The 12,466-nt window shown below is 48.4% G+C and overlaps 1 protein-coding gene and 1 pseudogene across 8 annotated transcripts in view, besides 4 other annotated features; both read left to right on the top strand.

Annotated features, from left to right (window-relative positions):
- KIFC3 (kinesin family member C3) overlaps window positions 1–12,466 on the top strand; it is a 104,642-nt gene that overhangs the window by 26,052 nt on the left and 66,124 nt on the right. The window lies entirely within an intron of this gene.
- Window positions 243–742: an enhancer, noted in NCBI's record as "H3K27ac hESC enhancer chr16:57869969-57870468 (GRCh37/hg19 assembly coordinates)". NCBI's record gives its function as "activates a minimal SCP1, AML or CMV promoter by ChIP-STARR-seq in naive H9 embryonic stem cells {active_cell/tissue: H9 hESC(naive)}" and the evidence as "EXISTENCE:reporter gene assay evidence [ECO:0000049][PMID:30033119]".
- Window positions 743–1,244: an enhancer, noted in NCBI's record as "H3K27ac hESC enhancer chr16:57869467-57869968 (GRCh37/hg19 assembly coordinates)". NCBI's record gives its function as "activates a minimal SCP1, AML or CMV promoter by ChIP-STARR-seq in naive and primed H9 embryonic stem cells {active_cell/tissue: H9 hESC(naive and primed)}" and the evidence as "EXISTENCE:reporter gene assay evidence [ECO:0000049][PMID:30033119]".
- Window positions 6,165–6,270, top strand: RNU6-20P (RNA, U6 small nuclear 20, pseudogene; annotated as a pseudogene).
- Window positions 10,955–11,454: an enhancer, noted in NCBI's record as "H3K27ac hESC enhancer chr16:57859257-57859756 (GRCh37/hg19 assembly coordinates)". NCBI's record gives its function as "activates a minimal SCP1, AML or CMV promoter by ChIP-STARR-seq in primed H9 embryonic stem cells {active_cell/tissue: H9 hESC(primed)}" and the evidence as "EXISTENCE:reporter gene assay evidence [ECO:0000049][PMID:30033119]".
- Window positions 11,455–11,956: an enhancer, noted in NCBI's record as "H3K27ac hESC enhancer chr16:57858755-57859256 (GRCh37/hg19 assembly coordinates)". NCBI's record gives its function as "activates a minimal SCP1, AML or CMV promoter by ChIP-STARR-seq in primed H9 embryonic stem cells {active_cell/tissue: H9 hESC(primed)}" and the evidence as "EXISTENCE:reporter gene assay evidence [ECO:0000049][PMID:30033119]".

Here is a 12,466-nt window from a genome sequence, read left to right as displayed (position 1 = left end):
GGTGGGAGGATTGTATGAGCCCAGGACTTCGAGGCTGCAGTGAGCTATGATGGCACCACTATACACCAGCCTGCGCAACAGAGCAAGACCCTGTCTCAAAAAAATAAGAACAAAAATACATAAAGGGCTGAGATGTCCCATAAAGGGCTGAGAAAGCCAGGAGAATGGTTTTGGAGCAAGAGGGTACATTTTTGTTTTCTTTTTGTGCCTTTTGGGGTAGTTCGATTAGACAGAAGGAATTTGCAGCCTGAGACCAGAAAGTCTACCATTCATTCCCTTCTTGACCTTGCCTGGGCTGCTCAACTTCTGCCCAGAGGCTTAGCTCTTCATCAGGAGAAAATAATGCTCTTAGCTCCACCAAGCTGATAAGGGCCAAGGAGAAAATGCCTGCACTGGCCAGGCACAGTGGCTCAAACCTGTAATGCCAGCACTGTGGGAGGCTGAGGTGGGAGGATCTCTTGAGCCCAGGAGTTCAAGACCAGACTGGGCAACATGGTGAAATCCTGTTTCTACCAAAAATACAAAAATTAGCCGGGTGTAGTGGAATGCCTGTAGTCCCACCTATTTGGGAGCCTGAGGTGGAAGGATCGCTAGACCCCAGGAAGGTCAAGGCTGCAGTGAGCCCATGATCTTGCTACTGCATTCTGGCCTGGGCGACAGAGGCCCTGACTCAAAACAAGCAAAACAGAGAAAATTCCTGCGTCACCCTTTGAGTTCCCTGAGAAGGGCAACCTGAATGCCAGCTTCAGGCTGGCGACTGGGTTTCCCTCTGGAATCTAGTGTGTTCTGGGTTGGAAGTGAGGGCCTGGAGAGAGGCGCCCAGGCTGGAATGGAGTTTTTGTTTGTTTTTTGTTTCTGAGATGTAGTCTCACTCTGTCATCTAGGCTAGAGTGCAGTGGCACAATCTCAGCTTACTGCAACCTCTGCCTCCTGGGTTCAAGCCATTTTCACGCCTTAGCCTCCTGAGTAGCTAGGGTTACAGGCACATGCCACCATATCTGGCTAATTTTTATGTTTTTAGTAGAGACAGGGTTTCTCCATGTTGGCCAGGCTGGTCTTGAACTCCTGACCTCAAGTGATCTGCCTGCCTCGGCCTCCCGAAGTGTTGGGATTACAGGCATGAGCCACTGCGCCTGGGCTGGAATGGAGTTTTATTAGCCACAAAACTTTGGGTGAATCACTCAAAACTTTGGGTGAATCACGGTTCCTCTGTTCCTAGTCTATGAAACAGGGCTGACAAGAGTAGTACTTTCCTCATTGGGTTGTTCTGTAACCTAATAAAATACCATAGAAAATGCTAATATGTAATAAGTACCCAGTAGATGTTCACTCCTATTATATTAATATTGGTCACTACAGGAAATCCACAAAGGAAAATTGTACTATCAAATTATCATAGTGCTTTAATATTCCATACTCACATCTTTGTTGCTTTCTGAAACACATTCCAGTTTCATATTTTAGAGCAGGCTGAGTACAAGAGACACATGTTCATTTTCTTTCTCCCTGGTGATCAATGAGCTGATTGGATTTTAATATTTTCCATTTTGTTTTGTTTTTAAAATAAGTCGTTTGGTAGTTTCTGTTGCCAGAACCTTCTGATGAAATCGTCTATCACTGACTCTTCAAATATCGGTGCTATTGTGCCTTTGGGGAAGAGGCAGCATCTCTCCCATGACTGTACCTAGAACAAAAGAGAGAACCCGCCTCCGTTCTTACTCACAGAAGGAGGGGCCTGCAGGGAGCCAGTCTTAGCAAAGAGGAAAGCACAAGAAAGCAGCTTTTCTGTTGCATTTTTTTTCCTCCTGAATTTTACCACCATGTCCAAGGATCTCCCTCTGTTTCTCAGATCTACCTCCTTGGGAAAAGCTATTGGCAGCAGTGATGACAAAGGTTTGAGCATAGCTCATGAATTGCTTCCTCTGCAGAGTTGCATGCAGTAGAGACACCAATAGGTAACACTCAATCAAATGGCACCTAAAGGTATTTTTGCAGGGCACAGTGGCTCATGCCTGTAATCCCAACACTTTGGGAGGCTGAGGCAAGGGGATTGCTTGAGGTCAGGAGTTTAAGACCAACCTGGCCAATATAGTGAGACCCGGTCTCTACAAAAATAAAAAATAAAAAAATTAGCTGGACTTGTGACGTGTGCCTATAATCCTAGCTATTCAGGAGGCTGAGGTGGGAGGATTGCTTGAGTCCAGGGGGTTGAGGCTACAGTGAGCCATAATGGTACCACTGCACTGCAGCCTGGGCAACAGAGCGAGAACCTGTCTCTAAAAATAATAAAATAATAAATAAATAAAAATTTAAAGGTATTTTTATTTTACAGAGACTTCAGAATTTTAACACTTTGAAAAAAGGATCAAGGTGAAGAGTTTACTGAATAATTAATGAATTGTATAATGTGTAAAACTTTTGTGATAATTTTTTTAATGTTCAAAAAATGTCAGGGAGTGCAGTTTGCTCAGGGACAAACCAATGTTTCCCAGCCTAGAATAGTTAAGACCAGGAGAGGTCCACTAAGAAACAATACTGGGAGATTATTTTCACAGATGGTAACTTTTGCAATTTTTCATCAAATAATTTATTTGATAATGTGTTGCTAAGCTATAGTATGTATATTACTTTAAAAATAAATGCATTCCCGGGGCGCGGTGGCTCACGCCTGTAATCCCAGCACTTTGGGAGGCCGAGCGGGCAGATCATGAGGTCAGGAGGTAGAGACCATCCTGGCTAACACGGTGAAACCCTGTCTCTACTAAAAATACAAAAAAGTAGCCGGGCGTGGTGGCACGCGCCTGTAATCCCAGCTACTCAGGAGGCTGAGGCAGGAGAATTGCTTGAACCCGGGAGGCAGAACTTGAGCCTAGATCATGCCATTGCACTCCAGCCTGGTGACAGAGCAAGACTCAGACTCAAAAAAAAAAAAAAAAAAAAGCAACTGCATTCCTAAATATTGAATATCATTAAGTGTATGCAGGAGGTATGATACCACTTTTTAAAATGCTACTGATACTCCCTAGGTCTGACCCCAAGCTCCCTTAGAGACAGGTGGCCATAAATTCCTCTTCAGTAATTTTAGGGTCCCTCCCCCTCCCAGGTGTCACATCACCACGATGGGAAACTCACCCAAAGTCGGGAGTAGGGGCCCTGCATTTCCATGCCATAGTCTCTGATACTGACACCATGGGAGTCCCGATCTCTGGGTCCTGGGAGTCTGTGGGGGCTGCTTCCAGGAAGAGTGTGCTTGGGACAGGAGCCTGGGTGCAGCCGGAAGACCTTCTGAGCTCAGCCCTGCCCAGATGCCTCAATGGAGAGCACACCTCTGCTCCCCAGTGCAGGGCTCATTCCTGTGGGAGGGAATCTCCCCTTGGGTGCTGAGATCCACATCTGAAGAGTGTTGTGGTTAGCTGTGTTCAGGGATTAGGGGAAGGGGTCCTGGTGAAGTTAATGGGGAGACTGAAGGCCCCCAAGCTTCCCTTTGGTGCCATCACTATTTACCTCCACCCTGCAACTACATCTTATACAAGATAGGAAACGGTAGCCACTGTCCCCTCTGCCCTCCTGGCATCCTGGGCATATATATATATATATATTTGAGACAGAGTGTTGCTTTGCCACCCAGGCTGCAATGCAGTCGTGTGATCTCGGCTCACTGCAACCTCTACCTCCCAGGTTCAAGCGATTCTTCTGCCTTAGACTCCGGAGTAGCTGGGATTACAGGCACCTGCCACCACACCTGGCTAATTTGTGTATTTTTAGTAGAGATGGGGTTTCCATGTTGGCCAGGATGGTCTTGAACTCCTGACCTCAGGTGATCCACCTGCTTCAGCCTCCCAAAGTGCTGGGATTACAGGTATGAGCCACCGAGCCTGGCCGGCTTATATATTTTTAATAAAAGAAAGGAAGAGCCAGTCCAACATGATCCTGCAAACATCTCTCTTTTAAAATACCTTTGCCTAAATATCCGTAGGGATGTCTGAAGCTGTGAGTGAGGAGTAGGGGTGATGGGAGAGGATGGACTTTACCCGGAGCCCTCCGTTTTTAAAGGAAAGTGCCTGACTTCTGAAATTAGTTGAAATTTAAAAATCTCTGTGGCAAGAAGGCATCAAAGGGTCTTGCTACCTGAAAAGGGTGTGTGTGTGTTGGGGAAAGGGCAGTATGCTGGGAGAAAAAAAATTCACCTTGCGGCCAGGCGCGGTGGCTCACGTCTATAATCTTAGCACTTTGGGAAGCCAAGGTGGGTGGATCACCTGAGGTTAGGAGTTCTAGACCAGCCTAGCCAACATGGTGAAACCTTGTCCTTACTAAAAATACAAAAATTAGCCGGGTATGATGGCACATCCCAGCTACTTGGGAGGCTCAGGCAGGAGAATCACTTGAACCTGGGAGGTAGAGATTGCAGTGAGCCAAGATTGCGCTGATGCGTTCTAGCTTGGGCGAGACTTTGTCTAAAAAAAAAAAAAAAAAAAAAAAAAAAAAGGGCCTGGCGCCGTGGCTCATGGCTGTAATCCCAGCACTCTGGGAGGCCAAGGCAGGAGGATCACCTGAGTTCAGGAGTTCGAGTCCAGCCTGGACAACATGGTGAAACCCCGTCTCTACCAAAAATACAAAAATTAGACGGGCATGGTGGTGCATTCCTGTAGTCCCAGCTACTTGGGAGGCTGAGGCAAGAGAATGGCTTGAACCCAGGAGGTGGATGTTGCAGTGAGCCAAGATTGCGCCACTGTACTCCAGGCTGGGTGACAGAACGAGACTCTGTCTTAAAAAAAACAAAAACAAAACAAAACAAAACAAAAAATTCACCTTGCAATAAATTATCCTGCCACAAATGTTTATGTTTAATTCATTTTGTATCCTATCCCTTTCCCCTCAACCCCCAAAGAAATCATGAGGGATCCAGTTTATAGTTGTGCTGTTAGTTGCTTGAATCCTAAATCTTGGAGTACAAACTGATCAGGGTTCCCAGGTCTACCTGGTGAAGGGCAACCCAAGGTGTCTGTGGGGCCCAAGGAAAGTCTAGGCCCTCATTGTTCACCAGCTGTATCCACGGAGAGCTTGTCAGACATGTGGAATCTCAAGACCCACTAAAGCTTAAGCTGTATTTCTTTCTTTTCTTTTCTTTTTTTCCTGTTGCCGAGGTTGGAGTGCAGTGGTATGATCATAGCTCACAGTAGCCTGGACCTCCTGGGTTCAAGTGATCCTCCTGCTTCAGCCTCCTGAGTAGCTGGGACTACAGGCACACACCACCATGCCTGGCTAATTAAAAAACAGTATTTTTGTATAGAGACCGGGGTCTTGTGCCCACATCACCCAGGTTGGTCTCAAACTCCTAGCCTCAAGTGATCCTCCCGCCTTGGCCTCCTAAAATGTTGGTATTACAGGCATGAGCCGCTGCCTTAAGATGCGTTCTAATAACATCCCAGCTGATTCATGTGCACAGTGCGGTTTGAGAAGCACTGCTCTTGGAGAGAAGGCGCTGGGTGGGAGTTGCTATTATTGGAAGAGTCACAAGAGCTTTTGGCTGTGAGAACCCCCCGTGGGGTTAGCAGGGTTCAGGCCCCTGGTGTGAGCAGATGTGGTTCTCACTCTAGCGCTGAGTCTCCATGGCGGGGCAGGCTCACCTGCTGAGCAACAGCCCTGCTCACCTGAATGGAACTCCCAGGTCTGCTTATTACTTAGACCTTTGTTCTAATTTCATGGTTTCTGCCTTGGGTTGTGTCATCCTGGACTTGCAAGGCTCAAGTGTGGCGTAAGTCACCATCACCAGGGCTGATGAATTTCCCACTCTGGTGACGCCTTAATTGAAGGTGAGGCTCTCCTTTCATTAGCAAGATTCCTACCTCCTGTCTAAACTGTCACCTCAAAGACCTGGGGGGAAAAAGAGGCTGACCTCATAGTGTGGCCTCAGTTACTGTGGCTTTGGTGGCTTCTCTAAATTTATCAGTGTTTCAGGCAAGCCCATGGCATAATTACTCAAGGCCCCGGGAATGTTGGCATCAATGATTTTGTTTCTCAAACCAATGAATAAATATTCTTCTGGCTTTTACTCCTTGCAACTGCTTTACTATAGAAGAAAGCATTTTATTTCAGCCAATTCTCACTACCATCCTTTGGGGGAAGGGCATTGCTATTATTCCCAGTTTACAGAAAGGAAAACAGTGCTCGCTTTGGCAGTACATATACTAAAATTGGAACGATACAGAGAAGATTAGCATGGCCCCTGCACAAGGATGACATGCAAATTCGTGAAGCGTTCCATATTTTTGCCGGGTGTGGTGGCTCATGCCTGTAATCTCAGCACTTTGGGAGGCTGAGGTGGGTGGATCATGAGGTCCGGAGTTCGAGACCAGCCTGGCCAACATAGTGAAACCCTGTATCTACTAAAAATACAAAAAATTAGCCGGGCGTGGTGGCGGGTGCCTGTAATCTCAGCTACTCTAGAGGCTGAGGCAGGAGAATTGCTGGAACCCGGGAGGGGGAGGCTGCAGAGAGCCGAGATTACACCATTGCACTCCAGCTTGGGCAACAGTGTAAGACTCCATCTCAAAAAAAAAAAAAAAAAAAGAAAGAAAAAAGAAAGGAAAACAGTCAGAGAGGTAAGGTCACTTTTTCAAGGTCACACAGCAAATTAAATGGCTGAGTGGGGACCCAAACCCAGATCTGCCTGTCACCAAAGCCAGTGCTCTCTGTCCTCCTGGGCTATACCTGGCCTTTCGAGGACATAATTCCCTGGTAGAGGCTGTCAATTGTTTTCTTTCAGGCAAAGAAGAAAAGCTGGAATGTTCTTTTGGATGATCTTGGTCATCTTCTCTTGCCTCTCCCAGTTGAGGGGCAAGCATGTTTCCCGGCTTGCCTTGTTCCTCTTCTCTTATGAATGACTTGGCCCCAGAAATGTAGCTCCTCTGCTCCAATGGCTTCTTGGAAGGCCAAAAATTGAGCCTGGGACACTTGCCCACAGGGATTGTGGCCAGCTGGGCAAATGCCTGTGGCTGAGTGGCCGTCTGGCCATGACCCTTCCAAGGACAGACGTCAACTCTGCAGCTCCGTGAGATTACCCTGAGTGGTTGCTTTGATACTGGGGAAGAGGCTGGAGGATTCTTTGATGGACATGACCCTGGGAGGGAAACAGATCTGAGTTCAAGGTCTACCTATTCAGGGCTGCATGGTGACTTTCCTGAGCCCTAGGTACTTTTGCCTTGGTGAGTTTGTTTTGCCGCTAAAAAGAACATTTAAAAAATAGATTTTTGGCCAGGCATGGTGGCTCACGCCTGTAATCCCAGCACTTTGGGAGGCTGAGGCAGAAGGATCACTGGAGCCCAGGAGTTCAAGACCAGCCTGGGCAACATAGCAAGACCTCATCTCTACTACATCTTTTAAAAATTAGCTAGATATGGTGGCACACGCCTGTGGTTTCAGCTACTCAGGGAACTGAGGTGGGAGGATTGCTTGAGCCCAGGAGGTCGAGGCTGCAGTGAGCTCTGATTGTGCCACTGCACTCCAGCCTGGGCAACAGAGTGAGACCCTGTCTCCAAAAAACAAACAAACAAACAAAGGTTATTCTTAATTTTAAAAACTAAAATAAAAAATAAAAATAGATTTTCCTGCTATATTGGTATAAAGGTGAATATGTTAATTTTATATATGAAATCATTATCTTTGCCCTAAAAGTTCATTTTTTCCCCTTCTGATTTTAAGTGAAATTAAAACGTTTTTATGGGTCCTTAAAAGTATTATGGTCTGTAATCACTGTGCCTATTGTACCTACTGGGGAAGTTGGCCTAGTGTTTGGGTCTGTGGTGACCTTGAGTGAGCTGACTGACTTTTTGGGCCTCAGTTTTCTCATCTGTAAAATGGGTATAGCAACAGCATCTGTTTTAATCCGTAGCAAGTGACTAGCAGAGAGGCAGCTTTGTGGCTGTTAGTATCTAGTTAGGGCTCAATCAGTAAAGCTATCTACACTACCTTCTGCTGGGGGGTGAGGGGCTTGTGCGTGGAGGGGGCTGGGCTTGTAGTGGAGAGGGGCTGAGTGCCTCCTGTAGGGAGTGGGCTGTTACTCAGGCACTTAACTAAAAGGCCACTAGGGGCCAAGGTTTCTGCTGTCAGCCCTGCTTCCTGCTCCAGCATCATAAAGCATTAGGGCCTGAAGGGTCCTCAGGGCCTTTCCTCTGCCCAGGTCTGCCAGAGACGGGATCCATCAGGGTAGAGCTGGGACAAGAACCCAGGCTGGGACCCTGGTCCAATGCCGCGGGGCCCCACCCAGGCTGTCTTCTGAGGTGCCACCCTCAGGTAGATGATGACAAGCAGCTCTCCTTGGCAAGCTCTCCCTCCCGCCACCCACGTTGGCTTCTTGGCCTTTTTGCCACTCACACCATTTCCTCATGGCCACATCTGCACACAGGCCTCCATGTGCAGCACCCAGAGAGGGCCTGGGTTTCAATGGCGGCACAGCCTTGGGCCGAGTCCCGGTCTACCATTGCCTTACCGGGCAGGTGGCCTCACGTTGGCATCCTCACCTGAGAAAGGGACCTAAGCACGCTTCCTACCTCACAGGGCATTTGCAAAGGTGACATTAGATGATGCAGGTAAAGCACTTGTACAGGCAGGGGCTCCCTCATGATGAGGAAGGAGAGGAGGAGGAGGAGCGCAGAGTGGCTTCTTCCATTCTCTCCTCTGGAGGCTGCTCAGGGAAGAGCCTCCAAGAGGGCCAGGGGCCACGTGGCAGGCTGCCTGGGTTACAAATCCCAGCCTGCTCCTTACTGGTGGCATGACTTTGGGGAAGCACTTCACCTTTCTGTGCCTCAGTTTCTTCACCTGAAAAGAGGGTACAACAATAGAACTTCCCTCAAGGGGTTGTTGGGAGAAATAAGTAAGTGAACATACCTCAGAGGCTTCAATAGGCACCTGGTGTGTAGTTAGTGCTCAGTACAAAATGAGGTATTTTTCTTTTCTTGGGACACACCACAGATGACAAATCAGCTTTCATCTTCAGGATGGAACCTTCTAGAACTGGCATGGGGTTCCAGAAATGGGAGTTCTCAGTTCCTTTCTCTCCAAAATGTGAGAGACACGTGCTGTGCCCACTGGAGGGTTTGTGGAGTGCAGCCCAGGGAAATTTGTGACCATCCATGGCCTCGTGGTTGCTTAAGCCCAAGGGGGTGACTTCTAGACCTCAGAAAACGGCCATGGGACAGGGAGGTTGTGGTCCTGAAAATGGTCGTGATGTGTCGCATGGGCAGCATGAGGCTCAGCAGAACGGAAGCTCCAGGAACTCTGAGGGACAGGCAGGAGAAGGGAAGGGATGACAGGTGTTGAGCGTCTCCTCTGTGCCAGGCATGGGCTGGCTCTCTGGCTCTGCTCCGGATTTGTGGAAACTGCCCTGGGTGAACCTTGTTCAGGTGAATGGGCCAGCAGGTCAGCCAGGGCCCTCAGCTGTCTGGCCTCAGCCCTCACCACGTCTCTGCAGCCGGCAGTGGCCTTGGACGTAGAGCCAACCAGACACTGAGATGTGGCCTGTGGCCATGGCCCAAGGGAAGCTACTGGCTGCCAAGTCACTGAAGTGAGACCCTGAGCTCGCTGACGCCAGGCTCCCACCAGCCACAGGCTGTTCACGGCTCTGCTTCCTTTTAGCTTTTCTCTTGTGGGATCGCTTTAGTCTGATGCGGACCCTGAATGAGAGATGACGGGGTCCATGCTTTCTGCACGCTCCTTTCCTGAAGTGACTCTTGTCACCTGAGTCCTTATTGGCAGCTGGCATAAAATATTAAAGCCTAACTGAGCGTGTGAGTTGCAGAGCCTTCCTAGCAGACTCTGGTTTCACAGTCCCAAGGCAGCAGCTGCAGGGAGGGTCTGCAGCAGGCCCCAGTGTCCCAGCGCAGCACCGTGTGGAGCAGCCCCAGACGCACTTCTGCTCAGCAGCCACATTCTGGGAGTCCGAGGTCCAGAGTATGACCACGGTGAGAGGTATGTACTCTAGTGGCAGAATATGATCAGGAATCTGACTTTTGGAATCAGAACTGAACTCCACTGTGTGTCTCAGCAGAACAAACTGTCAGCTTCCTCTGTGATGACCAAATCAAAACACTTATGCACACAGGGAAGTGAGGGTCGGATACAATTTTCCTGCACCTGTTCTCTTCCTCTCTACCAAGACTTCTTAATGTGCCATCTATGAGCCTCCCTCTAGTAACTGAATGCAAAATCATCACATAGTTTATTTTGTTTTGTTTTGTTTGTTTCTCGAGAAAGAACTGGTATTTTACGTGAAATTTTCAAAAGAGTGGTGGTTCCTAACCCAATATTTTTTAATGTTTAAATTTAAATTTAAACATTTAAAAACACTGGCAGTTCCACTTTTAGGAATAGTCACTACCACCTTTAATGAGATAAAAGATCTAGGTATAAGGGCATTCTTGGAAGTATGGTGGTCACAAAAGACTAGAAATAACTCGATTACCTGTTAATAGGGAACTGGTTCAATCAGTTGGGTCCACTCTTTGAAAAAAGTACAACCATAGAAGGACAAGTGTGTATGCATGACGTGGAGAGCTTTCCAACAGGGTGAAGTGTGAAAAGCAAAGCACAGGATAGCATGTGAACTGTGCTCTGGACTCCCATGGTGGGGGAAGCGGGCATTTTGGGGTGTGGGCTTGTATGTGGGGACTATTCTGGGGAAGGACCCTCCAGCCACTGGTGGCAATGATTCCCTCAGAGGAGGGAGGCAGAGGACGGAGGTTAAGGGTGAGAGGGAGACTTACTTTTCACCATAGTTTGCACTGTTTGAACATATATGGCTTAAAAACAGTTAAACAAGAAAACAAGCCAGGTGCAATGGCTCATGCCTGTAATCCCAGCACTTTGGGAGACCAAGGTGGGTGGATTGATAGCTTGAGTCCAGGAGTTCGAGACCAGCCTGAGCAACATGGCAAAACTTTTCTCTACAAAAATGGAAAAAATTAGCCAGTCATGGTGGTGCACACCTGTACTCCCCCAGCTACTCAGGAGGCTGAGAGGTGGAAAGATTGTTTGAGACTGGGAGGTCAAGGCTGCAGTGAGCTGAGATCATGTCACTGCACTCCAGCCTGGGCGACAGAGTGAGACCTTGCCTCAAAACAAAACAAAAACAAACAAACAAAAAACAAAAAAGAAAAGAAAACAACCTCAGAATTGTTTTCCAAAGAACCTAAGTAGATAGAGGCATTTGAACAGCAGAGCTGAGGCTGAACGTGGGGCAGCTAATTTGGGTGGGCAGCTGCCACTCTAAATTAGGAAGGTGGCCAAGGTCAAAGCCTGACTCACAGCTGGCCCCACAGTGGCCTCAGGGGTTAAATGGAGTGGCGTCCTCCTGGCATGGTGTTTAACAGCCTGCTGCATCCAAGCTCATATCCTTGTTATAATCACACGTATCTATGCTTTCATGAATGGAGCCGAAAGTCCATGTGCAAACCCCATTTTCCCTTTGAGGCTGGGGTCAAGCCAGAGTCTTGCTTTAGTGCAGATGCTTGGCATTTGTTGGGGAGGGACAAAGAGAAGGAGCCTGGCCAGTGATTCATGAGGACTGATGGTGGTGCCTCTCCTCCACCTCACTTAGGTGTGGGACTCGCTGCTCAGCAGGTAACAGGAGGCAAGTCCCTCAAGAGGTCATCTGTGTTGCAGAGCAGCCTGGGATTGCCCAAGGGCTGGGCAATCTACCTGCTAGGAGGGCTGGGCTGGGGTGAGTTGTGCTGTAGGCCACATTCCTTTGTTGTGAAGTGCCCTGTTGACATCCATCCATCCATCTCATTGGTTCTGGCCGCAGTGATATCTGAGTAGGCTTGGGAGGCAGGTTAACTATTTGATGAGAGAGGGCCTGGTTGAGAGGTGCCAATGGTGCTGGCTCACATTGGTCATCCCAGCACTTTGGGAGGCCAAGATGGGAGGATCGCTTGAGGCCAGGAGATCGAGACCAACCTAGGAATAGAGCGAGACCCCATCTTTACAAAAATTCCTTAGAAAAAGGTACCGGGGGTGCAGGGCTGGCCTCCCCACCTTGTTCATTGCACCTACAGGGCCTCAGTAGTGATTTCAGGCAAAGGGCTACATGGAATCTTTTGTTTTTCTGTTTTTGTTTTTGTTTTTCTTTGAGACAGCGTCTTGCTCTGTCATCCAGGGTGGAGTGCAGGGGCACCATCTTGGTTCACTGCAACCTCCGCCTCCTGTGCTCAGGCAATCTTCCCATCTCAGTCTCCCAAGTAGCTTGAACTACAGGCATGCACCACCACGCCTGGCTAATTTTTGTATTTTTTGTAGGGACAGGGTTTCATTATGTTTCCCAGGCTGGTTATGAACTCCTGACCTGAAGTGATCCACCTGCCTTGGCCTCCCAAAGTGCTGGGATTACAGGTGTGAGCCACTGCACCCAGCCCTACTTGGAATCTTGTTCTCTGCAGTGAACATCTCATTTTGCCAGAAAGCCACTGGCCCA

Source organism: Homo sapiens, chromosome 16 (genome assembly GCF_000001405.40).
Source record: "Homo sapiens chromosome 16, GRCh38.p14 Primary Assembly".
NCBI classification, from domain to species: domain Eukaryota; kingdom Metazoa; phylum Chordata; class Mammalia; order Primates; family Hominidae; genus Homo; species Homo sapiens.
The sequence above is the reverse complement of the archived record's forward strand: the minus strand, read 5'-3'. Positions and strand labels throughout refer to the sequence as shown.